Source organism: Homo sapiens, chromosome 3 (genome assembly GCF_000001405.40).
Source record: "Homo sapiens chromosome 3, GRCh38.p14 Primary Assembly".
NCBI lineage: Eukaryota > Metazoa > Chordata > Mammalia > Primates > Hominidae > Homo > Homo sapiens.
This window is the reverse complement of record NC_000003.12, coordinates 155,142,520-155,169,701: the sequence shown is the minus strand read 5'-3', so window position 1 is coordinate 155,169,701 and position 27,182 is coordinate 155,142,520. Positions and strand designations below refer to the sequence as shown.

General features: G+C 36.0%; 1 protein-coding gene across 10 annotated transcripts in view; it reads right to left on the bottom strand.

Annotated features, from left to right (window-relative positions):
* The window catches only part of MME (membrane metalloendopeptidase), a 159,528-nt gene that overhangs the window by 14,028 nt on the left and 118,318 nt on the right, over positions 1 to 27,182 (bottom strand). For all 10 annotated transcript variants that reach the window (NM_001354642.2, NM_000902.5, NM_007287.4 and 7 more), the window contains exons 13-20: positions 26,131 to 26,259; positions 25,245 to 25,343; positions 22,478 to 22,558; positions 21,049 to 21,152; positions 9,254 to 9,312; positions 2,681 to 2,800; positions 1,077 to 1,210; positions 905 to 970 (exon numbers count right to left, since the gene is read on the bottom strand). In NM_001354642.2, coding sequence (NP_001341571.1) covers positions 905 to 970; positions 1,077 to 1,210; positions 2,681 to 2,800; positions 9,254 to 9,312; positions 21,049 to 21,152; positions 22,478 to 22,558; positions 25,245 to 25,343; positions 26,131 to 26,259 — 792 coding nt within the window. The remainder of the gene's footprint in view (positions 1 to 904; positions 971 to 1,076; positions 1,211 to 2,680; positions 2,801 to 9,253; positions 9,313 to 21,048; positions 21,153 to 22,477; positions 22,559 to 25,244; positions 25,344 to 26,130; positions 26,260 to 27,182) is intronic.

Here is a 27,182-nt window from a genome sequence, read left to right as displayed (position 1 = left end):
AGGAACAAGTTGTTCCTTGTGACATCTCAAGTAGATGCTGCTCTTTCTCCTACATATGGGCTACTTCATAGTTGAGAAAAACACTCAAAATCATCTTCATTCCTTTTTGTTGCTTCCTAGACCATCATTCCTCCACCCTTTTATGAAATTCCCTGCTTTTTCTTATGCACATGGCATCCACCAGACTATTTTTTAACCCTTGCTCAGATCCTCAAATAATGACCTTTCATAAAGCATTCATTGCTTTATCTCCAGCTCTTTGAATACTGCCAAACCTATTAAGCCTCAATGAATATGTATTGAATGCAAGAATGAATGGAAGGCTAAATGGGATTCTAACGGATGCTCCACTGTTAATAGTCCTCTGTGTATAATAGTGTGGTTGACTACAAGGCCATGTGCTGGAACCATATCACGTCAGTCCCTTACTGTATCATATATGAACTATGGTTTAATATGCCTGTGGTTTACATTGATTTTTGTTCCCAAATGCTACTTCACCTGCTACAAAACTGAAGGTCCTGTTTCTTATATTGGTCAAAGACCCTGAAATAATCCTTCTTATGGGACATTTCTTCTAAAAAAATTATTCCAGAGATTATTTCTTAGAAAAATGTTGCCTCCTTTGTGAACCTGCTCTCTCCTCATTTCAGCTGATATAATATTCCATATTTTCTCTTCTTCTTGGCTCTTTGCAAACTTAAGTGTTCAGCTCCGTCACATCAATGTATTGACCCTTATGGTTAGCATATTCACCACTCTTTCTTCTCATATTTTTTTCCATTTTCTATTCATCATTTACTGCTTATATGAGTTTCTTTTTTTGCAAAAGGTTTTAAATGAATTATTAAATATGAGAAACACTCTAAATCACTAAAATGGAAAGAAAATCTTTTTTACTTACTCTGTATGCTTGACCAAGACCTCCATTATCAGCAATGTTTTCTCCCAGTGTATTAATTCCATTAAGCTGTTAAAAAAGACACTTTATTAGGATTGTTAAAAAAAGAAACCACCAATAATACACTTAAGATTGAACATGTCTAAAACTTTTCAAGAGAATGCTAATGACATACGTGCTGTCCACCTGCCAGGTCCCAGGAAAAGTTTCCATACTGATACACCATGCACTGGGATTGCTCCTTAAAGTTACTTGCAGACTGTTGAGTCCACCAGTCAACGAGGTCTCCATCTTTGTTAAAGTTTCTGCCTATAATATATTTATTTAAGTAAAATGGGAACTCATTGCAACAAGAATTATAAGATATGTTTAATTCAAAGTGCAAGGACTGAAATACTGCTGTGTGACAGAACATTAAATTAGGCAGACGATGAGAGAGACTGTCATCCCTCCTCATCACAGAGTTGGCAAAGCCTGGACTGCCAGAGCTTTCTTTGCTAATGCTTCTCAGCATTGACCCAGACATTTCACCCATTTGGCTCTTGATATCTCAGAAGAGGCCGCCAGACAAAATATTCTTGAAGTTATGCCTTGTTCTGTTGAATGGTTTTTACCTGACCCAAGTCTGTTTAGTTTGATATTTTGAGATTTTTAAAATGGCCAACATTTTTATTCTGGCATTTTTATATTCCTGGACCCTTCATAGGACACTGTGGACTCATAGTTTCCCTCTACTTCAAGCACACAAAAAAAGTCTTTTTCTCCTACAGCTTCCTTGCCAACCACAAACTACATCGATCTTTCTCCCTTTTGAGCTCCAATTGCATTTATATGTATCATGTGTTTTGACACAATATTACCATCTTTTTCATATTTGCCTATGACGTAGTGATTAAGAAAAGGGCTATGTAGCCAACCTACTTGAATTCACCTTCTGGTTCTACCAGTTCCTATCTTTGTTACCTTTGGGCAAATCTTTCATGTGTTTTTATTTTTTTCCACTTGGAAAACAGAAACAGTATTAGAACCTACCTGTAAAGACTGTTGCATAGTTTGAGTTAATAGACACTTAGTAAGTCTTTTTAAGAATTCTAACATTTCTGTCTCTTTTTCTTTCTCTGGCTCTCTAAAATGGGGATTAAGTATTTTCTCTCTATTGTTCTCTACTTTCCATTTGTGAATGAAATTTGTCATAGATTGAACTATCACCTCTTTACATATTTCACGTCTTTATTCCTCTCAGGAATTCAGCTTTGATTGAAACTCTAAATTGATTTTTCCATTTAGGGTGGCATTTAAGTGCCTAACTGTTTGCAAAGACTTGAACTAGGTAGTAGGTACAAGACGAAAAAAAAAAGGTCTCTTAAGCAGCTTAAGAGTCTTTTGAGCTCTTGGAGAGGCAATATTTTCTGATTTTACATCTGATTTTAAGACATAGACATGCAGCCTGTCCTTTAAGAGTATGACAAGATACGTCATATACAACCAGGAAACTAAGACCTAGTATTATCACTGCCGCTGACAAACACCATAGTATTTTCCCAATGGGAATATTTACTTCATTCTGCCAGAGTGTAAAGCACACATTGCTTAACTCACTATGAGAATTTTCTGATCTCTTTAAGCAACAATTTAAAGGGAAAATTGAAAGTGTGGTGAAAATTAGAGAAATGATACATGTTTGAATAAATGTAGCTTTGTAGTAATAAATTATAATAACTCTTAATCAAATTTATGAGCATATACCTCAGCCAAAGGAAAATGTCAACTGCACTTTACCATTGTCATCGAAGCCATGGGTGATTTCGTGTCCTATGACCATGCCGATGCCCCCATAGTTCAATGAGTTGGACTGCTGGGCACTAAAGAAGGGGGGCTGCAGAATGCCGGCTGGGAAGACTACAAGGAGAGAAGATAGTTAGAGATTATTTGTGGCATAAGTTTTTAAAATTTTTATTTTCTTAGAGACAGTCCTCCCTCCTCAGGAGTAGCTGGGACTACAGGCGCATGCCACCATGGCATTATTCAGTGATGGCAGGCTTGGGGTTGGCTTTGTGCTTGCTAAGCTGCTGTTCACTATGTCAGTTTCACTTAGTTATATACAAAAACCTTCTGTAATAGAAACCAATGCAGGCATTTTATTATGGATGACAACAGAGTTCACCTTGGAGTGGTGCTATAAACTATGATTTATCATCACGATTCACTTTACAATCCAAGATTGTTTTGTGCTGTAAGGAGTTTGAAGCAAAGGGAAGTTATAACCTTCATTCAGAAGGTCCTTTCTGCCTTATAAATATTTGGAAGAAATAGTTACTCAGTAACACCAATATTATTTTTAATGTTATTGCAGAAATTGTATCCATCTACAATAATATCTTAAATAAGTATTGCCACTCAATTGAAGGTATACCTCAATCACATAACCTTACCTTATTTTCATCAAGGCACTTATGACTACCTCATATTCTATTTATTTCTTTATGATCACAGTCCTTCCTTTTCTTGTCTGCCCTAATCCTACCCCAGCTCCTCAAATATTAGCCCTTTGAGAGCAGAGATTTCTGTGTCTGTACATATATTTGTTTATTTTTTAATTTCATACATTTTTCTAGTTCATTATCTAAATGCCTAAAATTGAACAATGCCTAAAACTAGAATAGTACCTGGAACATAATCAGGGCTCAGGAAATGTGCTGAATCAATGAATAATCAATGATAAATAAATGAATGATCACCCTAACTTACTAATGTGTCCTACAGAGTTTAGTGAATAAATAAATGAATTGTAGTTTTCAGTATGTCTACTCTGACATCTGCATTAACTTGCTAACTTTCTCCATTCAGATGTCTCACAAATGTGTTATATTTAATGCATCAAACATCAAATTCATTTTCCCCTCTAGGCCCTCAGTCTTTGTATTATTTCTGCTAATGGCCCTTGAAGGGTCTCTATCAGCAAAAGTAAATGTTTCTACTTATCTTAGATGCCTCCTTTCTTTTACAGTCTTTTACAAGTCTGCTTAGGCAGAGGCTGGGTGAGGTAGCTTTCAGGAGCATCTTTATCTTCTCCTGTCAGTATTACTGTTTACACATACTCTCATTCCTTGTCTCAGGAATGACTTAATTTCCTAATCAGTCTCCCACTTTCTGTCTCACACAACTACAATCTATTCTAAATCTAATCTACTCTCTGAATCTATCCTGTAGCCAGATTAAAGACAACTCTGGGCATCATCATTCTCCTGCTAAAAATCTTTGGAAGGCTTACCATTGCTCTCTAGCTAAACACATCTTTCTGGCCTATGGCCCCAGGGTCCTCTCCCACCTCTCCACCTCCATCATACCCTCCCCTTCCCTGCCCCATTCCAGTATCCTCTTATAATATATACTCTCATGAAATATATTTCACTATTTCTGAAATATACTAATAATGTGTCTTAAATACTAATAAAAGATGGAGAGTATCTTCCCTTGGAATATATTTCCCCTGTTTAATCAAATTTTGGGTCATGTTATTTGGAGGTAACTAATCTTTGACCTTAGAAAGAAATTAAAATTAAATTAATTAAATGTTCATAGTTTAGTAATTCTATCTTTAATGGCTTAAAACTCTAGCATCCACTGAATAACTGAAACGTTACTTTCTGTAATTAAAAAAAAACCCTTCAGTATCAATACCTATTAAGTGCAAAGCCCTGGGTCATTGCTATGCAGGACATTAAGAAAATAAAACAAGGGCCCTGACCTTAAGAAATTTAAGATCTAGTTAACACAGAGTAGCACATGTTATTTCTTTGTCTTTCAGGTGGGCTGAACACAGTATAACCTTGCATGGGCTTCAGGGATAAATATTAGATATTTACAGAGAAGACTTCAAAAAGCATCTGAGCAATTTAATTGCTCCCCAGACCTCTACAAAAATTTGGAAAGTTGCCATAACATTCAAATGACACGACAACAAAAAAGTACTTTTGTCTTTAGAGAATTTTTATGAAAGTTATACCTCACGTGTAGCAGCCTGAGCTAAATGGAGCCATGAACTTATTTTTACCTTAAAGTATAAAAATTATGTGCAGTACTTTATTAAGTTAAAGTGAATACTATCTCCCACACTATGTACTTTGATTAAAATCCACCCATTATATAAAATGCTGTTATGAAATGTGCTATCAAGACTAAATATTAACTACAAAGATCCTGCTGCTTTAATCATACCCTGATATGCCATTCTTCAGGCAAGTGATAAGATTTTATGGTTCTTATTAAATATTAGTCTTCAAGTTCAACTTTGCTAATTATGACCTCCCCTTTTACTTTGTCAGCTAAATCTCTGTAAGGAGGATTTTCCCCACTAGCCTTATTGCTGTTACCTAGTAGGCATCACAACTGTTGTTTATAACCAACTGCTTAGTTGTGCATTTTTTATGTTCATGATTGTCAACAAGTTAGTTAATTAAATAAGTCATTGGGCCATGAAGCAAAAGACCATGTCTCCTCTTCCCCCTGTTTTTGCCTCCCCAGCACAACTTCTGTGGTTTATTTTCTGAAGGCTGCTAGCAATTCAATTTTAGAATATTTCATATGTAGCCTAAGGCAGCAATTAAGTAATTTTTTTGGTGGAAAATAATTAAACATTCTTTTTTTTTTTTTTTTTGAAACAGGGTCTTACTCTGTCACCCAGGCTGAAGTGCAGTGGTGTGACCTCAGCTTACTGCAACCTCCACCTTTCAGGCTCAGGAAATCCTCCCACCTCAGCCTCTCAAGTAGCTGAGACCACAGGCATGCACCACCATGCCCAGTTAATTTTTTGTAGTTTTTGGTAGAGATGGGGTTTTACAGTGTTGCCCAGGCTGGTATCAACTCCTGAGCTCAAGTAATCAGCCTACCTCAGCTTTCCAAACTACTGGGATTACAGGCATGAGCCACCATGCATAGTCTAAACATTCTTTTTATATTAAATGGAGTAACAATATGTTTGGAAACAGTCTTAATTTTCAAGTCTGAAAATAAAACTCCTAAGAATAAATAAGGCAATTTAGAAAATTTAACTATCTCAAGGTATTTATAGTCGACACAGACTGAACACACTGAAGAACTTACACATTTGAGAAATTAAAAAAATTGATTTAAAAGATCCTTTCTGCAATTTTAATGAAAAAGGAGAATACACTAAATTATTTCCTTGACTGCGATTTTAAGGTTTAATAAGATGACTGAACAGCACCTAGAACTTACAGAGAACCATATGACAAAACATTGAAGCGCAGCTTTCCTAATGTCATGGCACAGGGGCCTTCTAGAGCTCCATGAAGTAAACATGCAAGGAAGAGGAACAGTGGATTAAGCACTTTTAGTTTGCCTTCTTTCTTGGAAATTGACTTTTTTGTTGATATGAAGAGTAGGAATGCATACAAATTGGAATGTAGCCTACATGTGTGAGTTCTAACAAAATGGTGAAAACTGAATTAAGAAGTAGAAATTATTGATATGAGTAAGTCTCTATATAACAAAACAAGTTCTTTTTTTAACATAACAACATAAAATGACCAATCCCGTGAGAAAGTGTATGCAGTCTAATTTGGAGTATTTGTATGTCTATGTGTGTGTATGGAGGGAGGGGCTCACTTACGTGGCACATATTACTCTATACCAACCCTAATTTTATAATGGACATTATCCCAAATCCATTAAGACAGTGTTGCAGAAGACATGTATATAGGTAGGTATGTGTGTATTTATATACACATACACATTTCTTTTTCTTTCTTTTTTTTTTTTTTTTTTTGAGACAGAGTTTTGTTTTGTCACCCAGGCTGGAGTACAGTGGCATGATCTCAGCTCATTGCAACCTCTGCCTCCTGGGTTCAAGCGATTCTCGTGCCTCAGCCTTCCGAGTAGCTGGGATTACAGGCACCCACCACCACACTGGGCTAATTTTTGTATTTTTAGTAGAGATGGGGTTTCACCATGTTGGCCAGGCTGGTCTCGAACTCTTGACCTCAGGTGATCCACCCACCTTAGCCTCCCAAAGTGCTGAGATTACAGACATGAGCCACCACACCCAGCCCACATAAACATTCCTATCAAGAAAAAAGATGGAGATTTGACTCTTCAACTATTTTTAGTTAAGACAATCCCCACTTTGAAGATTTAAATTGTGAAAGAAAAAAAGTGTACATTTCAAGGATTTCCCTTCTTCTGCTGTTCAAGAACCAGGCAAGCATATGAAAAGAGGTTAACAAGTTTTCTTATTTTATATTTCCATTGGATCCTTATTTTAAGGATCTTGGAAAAGGTCTTTTTTATATATTCAGAATTGTTATTATAGCTAATTCTTGATTTACCAGAGGATTATTGTTTATTTTGTGAAATAGACCACTATTGGGCCACTTTTACCTTCTTTTTCCTTTTTCTGTGTGCTTCTTTGGTTTCAAGACATTATACTCAAAATGAAAATATTTTCAGCTCTTCTCTGATCGGGGAATCCCTGAAGTGGGCCAATTTGGAGCCACCTCCAGGGGCTTGGGGTAATTCAGAATCAAACAAGGTCCTGCTTGGCATAAATGCCTGAGCCTACTCTAGAGAAGGGCTGAAGGACTGAACATGCCAGAGTGGTCCTACTGAGGATGCACCAGCATGAGCTCCGATAGGATCCAGGGTCCTCCCTGGGCTGGACTGAAATGAAGCTGCATCCCTTATTCTGCTCTAATGCAGCACTAAGGAGTCTAAGTTGCCTTGCTTTGACTTGGGATTCCATTGAAAGTTAATTATTACGTTTGTCTCAGTACCAAATGAACTAGACACTGACAGAACTACTGAATATTAAAAAGAGGGCTTCAAAGTGAAGACTCTCTAGAGATAAAGGCATTTTAAAACAAGATTTGAATGGTTTCAAATAATATATTATAAAGGACTGACTGCAAAGGTTCTGAGGAGTTGATTATTAAGCACGTTCTGGTATGGGTTTGGGTAATCATTTCCCTAGCCAGAAAGCATTAGCTTAGACTTTGAGCTAAGTAATTTTAAGCCAAGTAAACATATCTTACTTATTATTTATATGTTATACAAAACAGTCTTTTCTGGTTACTTTATATAATTCAGTTTCAGGTCATGTACCAACGTAAATTCCAGATGGATTCAGGTTTTACTCCAAAAATAGAAATCATAAAAATACTAGAAGAAACTGTAGATAACTTCTTAACCTAACTCTTTTTAGACTTGAAAGCAACGGGGAAAGGTATAATCAAACTTTAACCTAAAAATATACAATTTATTTTAAGGTTAGTTTTTTTTTAGCCAATGATAAATATCTTGTAAGATTTTTTATAATTTCTAATCTAATTGGTAATAGAATTCAATAAAAATGAGGCTTACAACAGACTCTGAGCTATAAGAAGAATGGTTTAGAATAATGCTGAGATTATCATCTCTCTTAATTCTAGACCACGTTTAGAAATGAAGGGCAGGACTGAGTGTACCTGGAGAACTGAGTGCACCTGCAGAAGCTTGCTCTACTATTTGTTTAGAATATTTCTGGCAGTACTGAATCAGTTGAGTACCTTTCTAATGCTAAAAACCCCCTGAAAAAAAATGAGCCAATGTATGTGATAAGTGATATATGTGAGCCAATGTATGTTCAAAGATGTCCAGGCCTTCCCAAGAAGAAGAAAATATTTTTGTCATATTATGTCATTCAGTTATTCATCATATATGATAACTTATTCATGTGTTAATGTATATATATGTCTGTAATAATACTATAAGCGAACTTACGAAATTTTTTCTTTTTTGATCAATTGTGGCTAGGTAAATACAATTTCATACGATTCAATCGAATATAATTGAGATTCCAACTTTCTAAACCCCTTGGAGCCTTCCTGAATGAAGATGACATAGAATAGGATCATCTCTCACAGAGCCAGCATACAGAATTGCCAGGAGGACTGGATCTGTGAAAAGTTGGCTCTTGAAACCTTAAACCACTTTAAGAAGCTAATGCTTAATGAGTCTTAAAGTCAATATGACTTTATATAGATATATTCAAGGGACTTTAAAAAAGGTACTTAGAAATAAAATAAAAATATTTAGAAATAAGATAAACCATTTTAGATATAAATAAGAATATTGTAAAAGAAACAAAACTACTTAACGTGATTTGTACCAATCTGAATTTTCCCACTATAGTGAAAGAAGGTACACGGATGCATTTACTTTCAAGAAATGCATTCAATAGAGCAATAACTCAGCCTCAGCTGTGCTTGTTTAGAGGTATTGTAATTGGTCATACAATGCACTACAGGTTGGGAACGATAGAGAAATATTAAATAATTATTTAAGAATACACCTTACCTATCTGATTTCTTCCTGAAGAGTAAAATGCATTGACTACAGCTGCTCCACTTATCCACCTGTAGAAAACATAAGAACTCTTTACAAATGATACTGCATTATCTGATTCAACCCACTCACACAATTAAAGCATTATTACCATTCCTAGATGAATCTTAACTTTCTGTTTGAAACATGATCAACAAATTAAAATTAGTTCACTAGGTGAGAGCTCATTTGAAAGCATTTCTATTTCTTGAAAAACATCAGCATATATTCAAGTCTGTAATCTTTTATTTTATTTGCATGGATTTTTATGGAGGCCTCTGATGTTGCAAAACCTATTAAAATGTATCACTTCAGAAATTGCAATGGGTTAAGATTGTATTGAAATTTATTTAGCTTTATGTTCCTGATACTAGGTAACTATGACAACGATTCTGGAGCAGTTGACAGAATACTGAAGTGTGGGTCATTAAAACTTCAGATCCAAGTATATTAAAAATAGTTAATTCCTGGTTTACAAAGAACCTTTTTGGGAACTAAGATATCTCAAGTAGTTGTCTTAGAGTAATATGTCTCTGATTATTGCCATTTAAAAGTGTTTTCAAAAAATACAACATTCCAGCTAATTGAGCAAAGATATATTTTTGTATGACTTTAAAATGAAACCCAGGTCATTCTTAAGTAGATTTGTCGGTCTGTCTGTCTGTCTATACCATGTCTAAGGCTCTGTATAGAACCCAGAGATTTTATAAAATACAGTTCCTGACTTCAGGAGACTCTAGTTTAGTTGAGGAGATGAGAAAAATGCATAAATAACTATAGGCTGAATGAAAAAATGGAAAAAAATGGCTCCCAGATGATAATTTGAGGGATGAGGATAGGAGCCAAAGTTCCCATGTCTCTCTGCTCAGATGTTATGAAGACTGCATATTAATAATCATGTGTTCAGAAATTTTGCGCAACAGGACTAAAGTTCTCATCTTAGTAGACTACTACATATATCGTTACTTGCTCATTGGAAAAATGGATACTGCTTGACTTCAGATAACCTCTTAAATGTCAGCATACATGCATACATTTAAGGTAGTCAGAGATCATCATCTAATGGCTTCACTGCAGTTGTTCTACTTTCATGGCAACTGTTAGTATGACAATTATCCTACTCACAGAAGGGGTGTACAGTAATTAGCACAATTAGGTTACATCAGAACTGTTTCTAGACCCTGCTCTGCCAGGTGAGCTGTACAAAGTAGGCTTTAGTTACAATGTTGCTTTAGTTACAATGTCAGTAACTATTTTGGGCTGTCAGAAGTGAATTTTATTTTGATCTCTTAAAAATAACTAGCACAGGGCAATATATAACAACTGACTGATAAATTCTAAGAATGGGTTTTGTCTACAACAACTTATCAAGACTTTTTATATAAAGGATTTGGGACTTAAAAAAATTTAGTTAACATTTCTGTTAATTTTTCTTTAGGAAGAAAAAAAGCTTGGAGATGGGGAAGAATGATTGATCAACATGTTTCTTCCTTAGTTTGTTACTGCTGTTGTTTTAAATCGAGAAAGCATTTTTAAACAGGATGGGGGGGGACTGATAATATCAGTCCTCCTTAATTTCATTACAGCCGAGTCATCAGTATTTTAGTATTTCTTGCAGGTTGATGATTACAACAATATAATTTTATTTATTTTAATTAAACTCTATTTGCTTCCCACATAATTTGTGTTGACTCACAAGAAAAACATGTATGTGTAAACCCAGGGATATTAGACTAAAATTGAGAGATCAGAAACGATGTAGAACAAATAGATTGCGTTGACGTGACTACGAAGTATTATAAAAGAAAATAAACAAAAATCATGATTAGGAAATATATTATGACTATGTTTATATATATTCAGACAGTTACTATAATTCAGGTTCAGATACGATTCCAAGCTGTCTGGCAAGAAAGTCAAAATGGAAAATGTGCTCTTACTACTCCTAGGGGGAAACATTGTTCCTTGCATGACTTCTGAAAGGTAATTCTGATGTGTCCTCGACATTTTCATAGCAAACGTGGCAGCAAATTTTTTAGGTAAACAGCTTATAGTTATTAAAGTTTTAACTGCTATAAAAGTTAATTTAACAGGTATCTAGGTCCCAGTGGTTTTAGGGTTCAGTTTCTCAATTGCGAACTTCTGGTTTAGTGACAGTGAATTCTACATGGGTTTTACAGGTAATTACAAATAACAGTTGCATATTTTTTGGCTCTGGACTAGTCAAAAATCCTAATATTGAAATAGAAAAGGTGCCAATCCAAGTTGTTTTTAAACTGTGATTACAGAGGAGAGGAACAGGATATATGAAATTAATGTTTCAGATAACAATAGATCACAAAAGTAGGACACGAATGAAGTTTATATATTATCCATCTTGTGTCTATTGCTTTTGTAAAAATAAATGTCATACCTTTTGTTTTAGTGCTTTTCTGCTCTTCTGTTACATTACATTGAGGGCTTTAAGACTGCATTTTGATTTATGTTTGCAAATTTCCAGCAGGGAGAGTTTTGCATATTAAAATGTCCACTGTGAATTATACCTTAAAGAAAATAGGTAGCTATTTATGACCACCAAACATTCAAATAAAATTAGAATTATGGTGGTTGGGTTTACACAGCACTAGTGTGTAGTATTTGCCTTTTCTTCTTTGAGATCTTTCTTGATGTGCCCTCAAACCAGTCTGGGAATTACCAAAAGCACAGGACATTTTGTCCCTGGTAATAATCAGAACCTCTGGAAGTACTGTGATTAGATCATTACATCTTAAATAAGGTGATGATAACAACTATAGACTGAATGTCTAATATTTGTGATCAATCACAAAATATCTCAATGTTAATATAAAAACTAAATTAACAGGGCCAACTAAACAGTGATGTAACAAAAACTGTAAGTTCTTTTGGTTGGAATGCAGTCCAAATTTGATGCTGACTGGCAGCACAGAGAAGAGAAAATTCACAAAGAGAAAGTGAAATGGTGGTGATTCTTGCCCCTAAAATAATAGATAGTGTAGGTTACCTGAAGATACCTTTAAAGTGTGGAGGCCAAACACTAACAGCCTCCACAGAGCAGTATCAGACTTTAGAGATGAACCACTGTTCTTCCATTTCTCATCCTTCCTCTGGTGGTCTGTATGCATACAAATGTGGGCATGTATGTGGTATAAAGTGAAGAGTGGGGAAGCAGGAAGGAAGAAACCTTATTTTTAATTTATGAGATGTAATTTTGTCAGGTAAGCTTATTCTCGTTTGGGGGCATTTGGCAGTAAAACAAAGAGGGGCCACTAGAAGCAGTATGGCCCTCAAAGCTGAGCTAACAATGTGGGTGGGGAATAGAACTGAAATATACCTGACAGAGGAACCAGGTGTTTCTCTTCTATCTCTTATTGCCCTGAAGAAGCTTAGTGCTGATGAAAGTGTGCAGAAATAATTTTTATAGCTGGGAAGAAAAGCAGAAGACAACAGACTGATCCTATAGCCTTTTGGGTATTATAAGCCCACTAGATTGCAAAAGCACCTAGAATAAATTTTTTTCACCCACTCTTGTGTAACTTAAAAACTGAAAACAACAAAATTGTTAGTGAGCCGGTACTGCCAGTGTTCAATTTCTCAGCATTTAGTAGTCTCAAAGCAACTCCTTTGAAATCAGCAGTGCAATACGATAGATTTTCTGTGTCTTCCTCCAGTCGCCTGGGTGGAAAGAATTCTTACCTTGTAATCACAATAATCACTCTAATCCTTTACAATTATCAATATTCTCTCATCAAGACTTCGAAGTTTTCTGTATACTTTTATTCATCTTTCAAACCATCCATATATTTGCAGGTATAGAAACTGAGGCACAATATGGTTATTAATCTCTTTCCTAATACACCTACAAACTACGTTATATAACTGGGAAAATTATATTTAAACTAAGAAGAATAGGAACCTGCTCACCTTCCAATCAAATCTCCTACTCCTAAGCTGTTGATCTGCACCATACACAAAATTTCATTACAGGGATTAATGCCATTTTCTTGCCATCCTCTTTAAAAATGAAGATGACCATTTCTTACTACTGTGTCACACTGGTTACTATTTAATGAGCACCTAAGTTATGTTCTAGGTGCATTATACAACGTAGAACACAACCATGCAGGACAAAAGTGAAGTCATTATCACCAGATTATAAAGGAAAAATTCTAGGTTCAGAGGTTAGGAGGCAAAGCAGGAATTCTGACTCAGGTCTACTCCCCTCACCCCCTGACTCCACAGCACAGGCTCTTCCCAATGATCCATAAGTGTAACTTTTTACCCAAAGGCAAAAGCACAGTAGGACCAAAGAACTTCTATTGTTGCATATGGTTGTTAACATAACTGAAGTACTCTGGGTGACTTACCTGAATCTGTCTGAGGCTAGGACTCTGATTTTGACACTAAACTGGGAGAAGCCACTTCTCTTTCAACAAAAGGTAATGGAAAATTACTACTGTTTTCCTAGATGTTACCAGTTGTTTGTGTGTAGTTCTGTTTGGCAACAAGGCACAATCTTTTTAGTCTTTGCTAACCTTATATATGTGTACATGCACATATATGTGCATACACACTTGGTATGCTTTATTTCGGAGAGATTCCTAATTTTGGAGACACTTGGGTGGGTGGATCATTTCTGTCAGAATTTTCTTTGGTGACTTTTCTCCTGATTTAAAGTAATTCTGAGAACTTCCAGGAAAGAACTGAAACCTGTTCCATACTGTATAACCCTCAGTACTTACATAACTTGACATAAGACTATTGTCTACCTAGCTCATTAGAAGGTAATTCCATGAAGGCAAGAATATTCCATGTTTTGTTCTTAATTGAATCCTAAGGCTAAGACCAGTGGTGGGAGCATAGTAGGCACTTGGCTATTTGGGCCTTGGTATAGCATTGGGTCCTCCAAGCTCCCAGAGTGCTGACCCATTTCATCCTGTGACTCTAGGAGGGCAGAGGGCACCATTGCTATGCACGTCATAGAGAGTGGTGGCTGTCAGAAACTGTGCACCGTTGAATGTTGTCCTTTCAAGAGATGACACTGAAATAAATGTATCAGAATTCTTTTGCAAAGTTCTTTCAGTTTAAATGGAAGTTTAGGACCTTTTAATTGTGTTGTTTGAAGATGATATTTTTGTTTCGTTTTGTTTTTAAAAAAGAACTACCTAAAATTTCAGCCTTTAAATTATTCGGCTTCCTTTTCTAATTCCCCTTCCCCCTCTGGAAAACAAAACAAAACGAAACAAAACAGAATCCCTCATCAAATGCTGACTAAAAAGCAGAAATCTTTTTGCCAATAGAACACATTTTGCTAACAACCCCAAAACACAATGAAAATCTGCAAAGACTCTGTTGGCTTAATGGAAGCATAAAACGTAAAAATCTAAAATTTTCATCTGTTACAACATGTGCAAAACATGAGGATGCCATGGCAGATACTGCCTTGGGAAATTAAACTGATTTGTTCAAGTTTAGTGTATCTCTTCTTTCTGGCTAATACTTGCTGAGTCAAATAGTCCTTTTTACAAATCATCTCCGTCTACATTTATGGAGAGTCATTTGTCTCAAGTGTCCGGTGCTCCGCCTGCCCACCCTCGAGAGACTATCAACTTTCCACTGCTGGGCCATCATATTTACCCATATAATTTCTGCATAATTATTTTTCCTTTGATACTCAAGTTGAACTATACAGAACTTAGTTAGAAAGAAGGTTGGTTCTAGAAACATTAGTGAAGTGGAAAAATCAGAAGGGATATTTTAGAAAGAAGCGAGGTACTTCTCTGCCACTCAAGAATGTGTTTTTTTCTCTTGGGTCATTTGATGCGGAGAAGCCAAGGAGGAAAACTTCCTGGCTCTTATGAAAACTTCACAGTAAGGTCCACAGAATTTTAGTGCCAGAAAGAACCTCAGACACATTCTACAGTCTAGCACAGCCTACTCATTTTATAAATAAGGAAACCACAGGGCTTTTAAAAGGCCACAGGTTGTGAATGGCAGAACTGGAACACTAAAAGAGTATTAGGCACTCATTGCAGTGGCAAAACTACAGTGTCACTTCCCAGGGTGCCAACTGCTCTGCCATTTTTGGTGGTGCTGGCCTTTCAGGAACTTTCTATATGCACCACGGAGTCACAGATGTTGAGCTGCCAGCTTTAGGGGTTCCACTTATTTCAGAGGTGTGCCACCATCCAATTGCACCAGATTAGAAAAAAAACACCATGCTTGAAGCAACCAAGGGGCAGACAGAAATGAGCCAATCATTTTTGTTTTGTTTTTTGTGAATCCTCTGCTCACCTCAATATTAATTTAAATGCTGACATATTGATTCCAGAGAATGTTTTACTAATAAGTAAAGGTTTAATTGTGGTTTGAAAAATTGTGTTTTACTAATAAGTAAAGCTTTGTGGTTTGAAAAAAGTGCTGTTCTAGCACTTTGTTTCCTGGTAATAGCAGCAACCAAACCCCGCCTTTCATCAGATTTAATTTTTAATCATCTGCCCCTTAAGATCATAGACTCCCGAGTAAAGGGCAACATCTTGTTCTCCTCTTTGTCATCTATTTTGTTTAGCACAGTGCTCTGCACAAGCTAGCTGCTCAATAAATGTTTATTGACTTGGCTCCTGTCAATGTCAGTATGCTTTCATTTTGATGCAGAACAGCAAGAGAGATGCACCAATGAGATTCCTCTTTGTACTTTATAAAAAGTTAACTCCAGGGCTCAACAGTTATGATTCACAAACACTAGCAACACCCATCACAATTATATCACAGGAAGTTCTGTCCTGAGAAACTAACAAAATAACATCAAGTCTAAAAACAAGAGACTCATTTTGTTTTGTTCTTGTACATCTTTTTCTTTAGAGATTCATGTTTGCTCTATGAACTCTAAATGAAAATTCATGTTACTAGAAGTAAATATTTTAGAAATATTGTTAAGTAACCAAAGGGTATTATATTCCCGATTCAGCACTATTTCTATGTTATAATGACATGTTTAAAATTCTTTACAAACTGGCGCAAAATCCTTAAAAGACATAATGTTTGAGATGATTTTGGAAACACATACTAGGCATCAGAAACCACATGAATCAAGAGCTTTTAAAATTTAAATCGCTTTAGAAGGCCAAGGTGGGTGGATCACCTGAGGTCAGGAGTTCGAGACCAGCCTGGCCAACATGGTGAAGCCCCGTCTCTACTAAAACTACAAAAATTAGCTGGGCATGGTGGTGCACACCTGTAATTCCAGCTACTCGGGAGGCTGGGGCAGGAGAATCGCTTGAACCTGGGAGGTGGGAGCCGAGATGGTGTCACTGCACTCCAACCTGGGTGACAGAGTGAGACTCCGTCTTAAAAAAAAAAAAAAAAGTAAATCCCTGTCCTTTGCAGGTGCCAGCCACTCATAAGAGCAGAGGGAGGCCCTTTTAGCTAAATTATTAACTTGGGTGTCTCACATGCAGACTTCCTGACTTCCTCAATTTCTTGAATTTGTTAAAGATGATGTTGTGTATCTTCCCCAGCCATGATAGTGAAATGTTTGGATGTGACCATTTTTTTTTTTTCTTTGAGACGGAGTGTCTCTCTGTCGCTCAGGCTAGAGTGCAGTGGTAAAATATTGGCTCACTGCAACCTCCACCTCCTGGGTTCAAGTGATTTTCTTGCCTCAGCCTCCTGAGTAGCTGGCATTACAGCTGCATGGCACCATGCCTGGCTAATTTTTGTATTTTCAGTAGAGACGAGGTTTCACCATGTTGCCCAGGCTGGTCTCAAACTCCTGACCTCAAGTGATCCGCCCACCTTGACCTCCCAAAGTGCTAGGATTATAGGCGTGAGCCACTGGGCCCAGCCAGATGTGACCATTTTTATTTTAGCAGCTGAGTTAGTTTTATTATCATTATTACAAATTGGCAATTTTATCATTTATTCTTCCCATAAACATTCATAAAGAGCTACATTCTGTTCATTAGTGTTTAAGCTCTGGTGACACAAATATCTGGTTTTTGCTTTCAATAGGGGCTAGTCCAACTAAACGTAGTAAAATGTACTGGTACTTTGACCAAAATGTGCAAAGTGTAGAACAGCCCAAGGTGAAGAGAAATATGCAATGGGGTGCTGTGAGGAAGGAGGTGACACTTAAAGTTTAATCAAATCATGTGTAGGTTTCTGTTAGATGAACCAGGGCATAAAGGGTGGTCCAGGGTAAGAGACAAGGATGTAAGAAAGACAGAGAAAGGATTTGGAAGTAATTCATATGGTTGGAGCTTTGGACAATGGTGAGGTGTAGGGTGAATGTGAAGGAACTCTGGAGTGCTAGTGTGGGGTATGAAGAGCCTTGGTTCTCTTCAAAACAGTCACACATCATGAGACAGGCAACAGGGATACACTGAAGTGTTTTCATCAGGAAATAAAATGCCAATTTGTGTCTTCAAAAAAATCTCTAAGGTAGTAGTGTGGAGGATAAACTGAAGATATAGAAGGTGGTTGGTAAAAAAAGTAGGATAATAATTGAGATGAGTCAATGAACAGTGAGAAATGTCTGAATTACAGAAGTGACCATGGGAATGGTGAGCTAGAGATCCCCTCTTCCCATTCCTACGTAATATTTAAATAGCAGCTGGTGGATGCAGACTTTTTTTTTAAAATGGAGATTTGAATTAACTATCACTGTAGATGTCAGGAATAACAGAAAGGGATAAGTCTAGGATGATTAAAATGAGTCCTTGGTTTCTGTCTTGGTAGCAGTAAAATGGAGGTTTTTAGAAAATGGGCAGATATTATTTTTTGCCTAAATGACAAATGCTGTGTTTTTAGGGTCAATAAGACATCTACATGGAGATGTTTCATAAGCATGTAGACATTTGGATTTGAATCTTAGTAAATGGATCTGAGTCAAATACAAATATTCAGCTGACATGATGATGATAGAAGATGTCGAGAAGTAAAATGAGTTTGCCCAGTGAGAGCATGTGAATTGGGGGAAAAAAGTGTCTAGAAGTTTACTATTTGGCTAATTGAATTCATTTACATTAGTTGCTGTCTTGAAAATTTAATGCATCATCATTTCTCTGAAGTGCCCTACAATACAACCCTACAAAAGTCTCAACTCTGTCCCTTCAGTTTTGGGTATGCACACATATTTCTCTTTCAAGACTTTGGGAGTGAGGATCTTGAGCATCTGAAAATGTAATTCTCTAAGATGTAACTACGGGCTATGTGGACAAGTAGAAGCAACAGAAATTATCTGTCTAAACATACACAGCAAGGACTTGAACTTGGTGCTCCACAAAAAGAGAAAAGAAAAAAGAGTAATGACTTTATTACATTTTTTTTTTTAGACGGATTCTTGCTCTGTCGCCCAGGCTGGACTGCAGTGGCGCGATTACAGGCCTGAGCCACCATGTCCAGCCAACTTTATTACTATTAAGCAGGTTCAAAATAAGTCAGTAACTTTCCCTGCAAGAAACCTTAATAAAATGAGAGGAGCTTCGATCATGTTGTATCCTATAGGGCTCAGTCTTAATGATTTGATGCAATTACTGTCAGAGGGTTTCTGATTATTTTGGAAGATAAAAATAAATTTTAAACCTAAATTGCCAAATTAAAGGCATCATCTTGTGAAAAATTCCATAAAATTGAATATGAACAGGAATGATATCACACAAAAGGGAAATAACACTAACTCAGGGGTTCTCACTTGGTGGGTGGTACTTAAAAAGAATACCAGTATCTGGGTTCCAGCTACAGAACAATTACATCACATTCTAGGGTGCTTGAGCTGGGGAATCAGTGTTTTTTAAAATGTTCCCCAGGTGATTATCATGTGCAGCTAGAGTTTTGAACCTTTGTATCTGGTATACAGGCAGACTATAGGAAAGAAAGGAAAGCTGGCTCCATATAGCAGAGAAGACCTTAGAATTCATATTGCATTTGTGATCATCAGAAGCTCATGGGGAGGACCAAAAAGTACTACTGAAGCATGTGTGCTATTGACCATTCATTCATTAAAATATTGTATACACTTTTGGCTTTTGATTATCTATCTTAAAAAGAGAAGAATGCAGAGAAAATCAGCCCATATGATGAAAGGGAATGAACAGTGTAAATTATATGACAAAATGATTATGAAACTGGCACTACGTTAACCTCAAAAGAAAACATCAAGCAATAATTCAACAACTATTTCTAGAATTATGAAGAAATTTCCTGATGTCCTATGGGTACTGGTTAATTTGGCCATTTCAGAAATAATATTTGACAGTATTTGTCTATAGATATTTTATAGTGCTAACAATTATTAAATCTTAGTATGTCTATTTTTAAAGAAATACAAATATACAGACTTATAAGAAATTTCTCAGATCATAAATTCACCCAGATAATTATTTTGCATAACTTTTTGTGTGTTTCAAGAGACAGGATATGGTAACTTGATTATAATGCCAAGCATGTGTATTCACTCTCTTTCTTTCCCAGATGGGACACTAAACATTCTATAATATTTGCAATCCCATTTTTAGCATCAGATAACACAATATTTGTTCCAATATGAACTTAGAAGTCAGCAAAAGAGTTGCTCTCTCTTTCAGGACACGTCAGTGTTGCAAGAGTTCAACATGTTGAGTAAGGATTAAAATGCACTGGCATTTCCATTAGCAGTTTTGTCCAACCTGTACTTGGTTTACTGAGAACAGAACAGTCTTATCATCAAATAAGCCCACAGCACTTTGTACTTTGCTTGGCACGACATTTCCCTCTTGGTGGTGCAGTTTATTACACCATGTCTTGTCTACCTTCTGCTCTTGTAATGTAATCAAAGTTCACCTTTGATTCTCCCAGTACCCAATGACACCTGGACTTCGTGTTCCAAAATGTTAATAAATGCATGAAAGGATAAATGAATGCATGAATGAAACAAGCACCTCTTTGGCATGTTACTGTGTTAGTTACCACACAAATCAAGTTAGTATATTTATTTTTCACTTGCTCACTCACTCATTAATTTTGTTTTAACTGAGATTCTTCAGTATGCTAGATGCTGAGACTTTATGGTCAAAAGGAATAGCCCCTGTTGTCTAGGGGCTAAGAGCCTAGGGAGAAAAAGTCAACATAAGTGGTTCTAGGAATTTCGGTGCATAAACACATATGCTGATAAATATGTTAGTTATATCTATTTAATAGAAAAAATAAAATCTAAACTAATAGTTATTAGGAAATACTAATGTCACTAATAAGCAGAGATTAAGAGCATAAGAAGACTGTGAATAAGAATGGTTCCTAGTATCTCCTATTTGACTACCACAGGGTTAGAAAAGTCTTACATTAACTATCTATGAAGGGGATGGAGTTGTGGGATTGACTGATAGAAAAAAGGTGGGGCTGTCAGCAGAAGAAAATTCTGGACACAGAGTAAGGCCTAAGAGAAGGCTTAAAGGAGCTATGAATTGGCTTACTTAAGCTAAGGTTTTTGAGAATCTTGTTCACAAATAAATTGAGCTGATAGGCAATGACATAAGACGAAACTAAAGACATGTAAATTTGAGGATACCTTAATGAGAAAGGTATTTTAATCTGGTTAAAGTCTTGATCCATATCTTTAGTATACCATAATTAGATGCTTTTAGAAGTTCTCAATAAAAAGAGGACTTTGTACTTTTTAATATTTTTCTAACTGAGGCTCTTTCACTTAATCCAACAAAGAAAGGAGGGAAAGACCTGCTTCTAGATGATCACATTAGAAATGAGAATATACGCACTCATCTTTGTCCACCTTTTCTCGGAGCTTCTTCAGTTGTTTACTTTGGCTGAATTTCAAATTTTGAATTATGTTCTCGAAGTATTCATCTTCTTTGTAGTTCAACTGTATTATAAAGAAGATTTGGGAAGAAATATTAAAACCGGTATCTTCTAAATTTTTGCTAAAAACATAGGGATTTTCTTAAATTATATCAGTCAATAAAGTTAAAAGAGAGCATTAAAAAACTTACCAAAAAAGGATGTAGTTCCAGTTAACCTAATTCTATTAGTATATCACAGGTCAGTATTCCAGCCAAATCACAAATTCAGTGTATTATTTTATAATAATCAAATGAAACCAAGTGTCAAACAAACCTCACATTAATGACATTAATCTTCACATAACACATGTGGATAATAGCACATTCTTCTTTAGTACTTACCATGTGCCAAGTACTATTCTAAGTACTTTAAATTTTACATTATACTCATTTAATTCTATTATACTAATAGAATCTAATATTATGTTCATTTAATACCGATGAACTAAGGGCTCCTATCCCCATTTTAAAGTCAAGGAAACTGAGATATAGTTTAGTCACTCGACCAAGTTTAAATGAGTGGTGGAACTGGGATCTGGAATCAAGGAACTTGGTTTTGAGTCTGTGTTCGTAGCCACTATGCTCCTGCTATAAGGACCCCTGGGTCTTGCAAGCTATAACCAGCTCATTTAAAAGAAAAAGTCAAGTTTCTTCTGCAAATGGAAAGAGAGAAGAAGGCAGTATGGTTTGCAAATCCCCATGCTAGACTAGTAATCAATGAATGAGGAATCACTGTCATCCCAGGACCTGGGCAAGGATCACCTCGCTGTCATCAGGGTATCATGTAGTTGTGGTGACTGCAGAGTTAGCAGCAAGACTTTCAGTTGAGTCTGAAATCAGCACTGCAGTGACTTTAAGCAACTCTCTGCTCTTTTAACTGTTACATTACCAGGGCAGAACAAAATAGTTTTCAGTTCTCAAATATCAGGGTTTGTTTTGTTTTGTTTTTAAAATACAGTAGGCATGAATTGGTTTTTCCAGTAGAGGAAAACTTAGAAGGTGGAGGGAAACTCGAAGCCTGTGTAAAATGTGATAAGAAGCCTGCCTGTTGTTCACCACCTTGATGTCTATCCCTTCCTTGATACTCTTTAAAGGACACCAGATTTTACTTACGGTTCTTAAAATGGAATATATGGAAACCAAATGAACAATAACCAAATATAGTCCTGGCTAATGAAAACAAAAAGGCTAAAACAAATATCATTCTGGCACCAGCGTTGAAGGCTTTATATAATACAACCTGTGGTTTCAGGCTACTTCATATAATTTCAGGCACCCCATAGCTAAAAATGACACTACTACCAGCCCTAAGTATCAGTAGTCCAGAGTCTATTTTATAGAGACTTACCTCGAGGTACTCATTATTCAGTTTGTTATCATTTGAAACAATGTCATCAGGATAGCCGATCCTTTCTTTAATTGCTAAGGCCTATGAAAATTATAATATTGAATGTGAAGATGATTATATAACTTTCAGATACAAATTTATAATCTGCCCATGACTAGCAATTGAATAACTTGATCCATACTGTTCATAAAATGAGTGTCTGACATACTTAAACAGAGATCTTTGCAATGGCTCTTTCCTGGGAGGTTCAAGAATAAATGAAAATCAGGTCTGAAATTGAGTTTCTAATGCCTTATCCTTATAGGCTGCAGCTTTCTCAAGAAAACCAACATAAAAACTGACAAAACTCATTGTTCCACATATTTTGTACTTTTATGAACTTTTTCTCTCAAAGCTTTTTTTTTCAATTTTTTAGAAGAAGTAATATTTACAGCTTCCATTCCAGCAGGTTATAATTACCTTTCTGCCTCATTGATTTGACTGAGAAAACAGATATGGGCTTATAGGTTTACTGCTAATACTAGTCCTAAATATTGGTTCCTGGAGTTTTTATGTTCTCCTTTATTCTCCAAAGTCAGTGTACCTATCTTCTCAAGTTCAATAAATGACATTAATTAGTTAAGTGGAAAACGAGGTTTTCCTTGTTATTCCAGCTCATATTTATTATGTATTTACTACTATCTTTTTTTTTTTTCTTTTGAGACAAGGTCTTGCTCTGTTGCCCAGGCTGAAGTGCAGTGGCACAATCAGGGCTCACTGCAATCTCCACCTCCTGGGCTCAAGTGATCTTCCCATTTCAGCCTCCCAAATAGCTGGGACTACAGGCATGCACCACCATGCCCAGATAATTTTTGTATTTTTTGTAGAGACAGCATTTCACCACGTTGCCCAGGCTAGTCTCAAACTCCTGGGCTCAAGCAATCTGCCTGCCTCGGCCTCCCAAAGTGCTGGGATTACACCAGGGAGCCACTGCACCTGGCCTATTTATCACTACTTCTAAAGTTCATTTTTAATTATTTTAAAATGGTTTATTTTACTTATTTTATTATTTCATTATCACTTGTTTACTACTTGTTATTTCTATTTTTATTTTATTTCTCTCTTGATTTTCTCAATGATACTTGACTTTTGATTTTACCACTTCGTATCACTCTTAAATAATTTAATTAATTTAAATTTTTCATGGGGGGTTTAGCCTGTATCTCTGAGTTACATGGTTTCCCATCAAATGGATGCAGTTTTATTACAAATCTGTCACATGAGCCCAGGATTTCCCCAGTCAGTGGATCAGGCCTCATATGTATCACTGAAGTCACTGAGGCCAAACCCATTTTCTTGTAGGTTTGCCATCAGTCATGACAATCCAGCCCCCACTTAATGATACTTTATTTACTGTAAGACATTTCCTTAAAGAGTGTTCTAAAGGATACAAATTCTACAGAAAGTATAAGGTAGTAAACACACAAAAAAATTATTGTGAATTACTTCGGGTAAATGCTGTCGCAAAAACATTAAGCAAGTTTCTTTATTGCAGGACTTCTTACAATTAAAAATGGGTTAGATTATAAGGTTAGAATCATAAGTTATTATAAATATCCAGGATGGGAAATTAATTTATCAATTTACTCACTCAATATATTTCAAGGGTCTACCAAGGGCCAGGTATGTTATAAAGGGCTGAGGATATAATGCTAGGCAGTATTTTCTGCCCCCCTGCCCCCAACCATAAAGAGCTTATTGTAAACAGCAATGATAAGCAGTGAAATAAATATTAACTCCCACGTATGATAATAAAATCACACCCTAGGAGCATGTAACCCAGCCTAGGGTGAGATGAGGGAAGCCTTCCTACAAGAAGTGTTCACCAAACTCTTTTGACCATGAGCCTCTTGTGGAATAACTTGCATGTCCAGTATTTTGTGACACCACTTTGGAAATGCCGATCCAGAACAATCCAACTGGCTTTACCAAGCAGAGCCATGTCATGCACAGCTGTGACATGAAAGGAGCAAATCCAACCTGAATGTCTGAAGAGCTGGCCAGAGTGATGGAAAGATAGCAATACTGGGGGCAGAGGTTCTAGGCCTAACCCACTCAGGGCTCTTTGAGAGCTGAAAAAAGATAGTCCTTCCATGTGATTTAATTCTAAAAGAAAACTAGACCAAGGTTGATTATCTTATTAAAATACATTTATTATTGTCTCCTCTATCAATCCAAATCGTCTGCTTTTTCTGCCAACCTAACTACAGAGATTAGTCAGGATGCATGTGAATGTTGCTCATAAAGCATGTTAACAGTTTTCACAGGACATGTTCCCCCTAGTTATTATATAATTATAAAGACAAATGATCACAGTAAATTTAAACCTAAGATTTCCTGAGAAATCTTAGACCTATTCTTATGAAACTCAGTAAAAGTCTCAATAAAAGCTGCACATTATGGGTGGGCATGAATAGTTATAAAAAAGCTTCTTCAACATCTCTTTAATTATAGATCTTATAATGCACCAATAGTGCACCACCTTACATTTGCTTGAACAGAAACTTAATATTTTCACCTTGCTAGAGTATTGGTTGCAGAGATAAAAGATTAAAATTGTAGAAATATATCTTTATCCACAAAAACTCTTTCTGGAAACACTACATATTGAAGGAGCTTACAAGTTTTTATGCAATCTTTGATTATATTTTTTTCTAAATGTTTTTAAAGTTAATTTTTCCTATACTAGCAAAGATTTTTCTTTGCTAGTTAGCTGTCTGCTCTTTACCTTTTCTTCAGCTCTCTTTTTTGTCTCGGCATCCATCCAAGTGAGGTCATCTAAAGTCTGAATAAAAACTTCTCGGATCTGTGCAATCAAATCCTCGACCTCAAATCAGAACAGAAGACAAATATAGGTCATTAATTCATTCTTTGTAACACAGATTTTTAAAAATAGAGCTACATGCTATCTTTGTATGACTTAATATGTTAATAAACGTAAATTTATAGACAAACTGTGACCTAAGCTAACAGATATATGGGACCATTATATTTTAAAAGCAATATTGCTATTATCGACACTCTTGATTAAATAGGTCTTAATATATGCATTAAGGTAAAAATCATTTTCAGAATATAATGGTTTCACTATCATACTGGAAGAACTAATGTAAAATATTAGGGCTGTCATTACCATTAGTGGTTTAGCTAAGCATAAAGTAGCATTTCAATAAATTCTTTCACCATACCATTAAGTTCCACTGTCTTCATTTTCCTAACAATGAAAAATAAAGCACATTTCTTATACTCCAAATAAATCCTGTTTTACTTTCTATGTTTTTAAGAAAATACTAATTTGGGGGCAATTTTGATAATAGAAGAGTTTATAAATGACTATATCAATAGAACATGTTACTGGGTACTCCAAATACACTGCTTCTGGAAAATGGTGAGTTGGTTTCAGACTAGACAGTATTAGGAGCAGAAACATAACTAGACTCTTGGGGAAGGCAAGGGAAGATTTATTGGGAAACAATGGCATATTATGATTCAGAGGTTCTCTGCCTAAATTAATAAAATTTTAGCCAAATGATGGAGAACTGTAATTGCTCATCAGTGTGAACAAACTGATAGTGTCCTGTATAACTGACAGTGTATTATTCTGAAAACATTACCACATGTTTACTCTCTCCAGCAAATGCTGCTTCCACATAAAGCCTCCCCACAGCATTTTCCATATTCCCATTGACATAGTTTGCACAACGTCTCCAAGTTGCTGTTTCTGAGGTTGTACCATAAAGGGCCTACGGAAAAGAAAAAGGAAATGGCATTTGACCAGAAGGAAAGGTCTGGAGCATGTTAAGAGCACACATTTCACAAATGTCTCATCTAAGTTCTTGAAATATTCATCACTTCTCCTCACAAGGCCCATGTTCCTAGCCTATGATGAAATGTAATCCAAATGGATTGTTTACTTATATATGATCTGAAAACTAGGCATATTTTCAGTAGATGCCCCAGTAGAACTTTTTGCTATTACAACTTAATATCATTGTAGAAAGCGTTAGAAAAACATACAACACTGTAACCACTGCACAAACATAAATGTGAAGTCATATTCAATAAATGTAATGGGGGAAATATGGTATATGAGAAAACACATTACTGCTTTTCAAGGTTTTAGCTGAACTCTGAGTACTTACAGAACCTGTATGTGTATAAATTTAAGAATAACAGGATAACCTAAGTAAGGGAGATTTAGCACAATACATTTTTGCATTCTTTAATTTTAAAAAGATGTCTACATTTTCTTTTTAAGGATAAAAACTAGAAATTTTAATCAGTCCACGTTATTTTCTTTCCAAGACTCCAACTAACATGTTTGCTGGAGTCTCTCCTTCCTCAATCCCTACTGCCTACTCCCCTCACCATAGTACCAAAACAGTGATTGTTTAAATAATATAGGTATAGGCTAAGAAAAGGTCTTATTTAACTCCAGGTAGGGGTACTTTCAATAGACTGCCCACATCAATATTGTCCATCTGTGTATATGTCCAGTGTGCAATGAGCACCTGAAAATCAAATTAATTAAAATAGATAACCCCGAAATTACTTTTAACACAGTAACAACAACAAAAAATCCAGACAGTATTCTTTCATGAACTGGTTAAATAACCAAATGTAACTCCTTACAGGACAATGCAATCATCGTGCCACATAGACCATC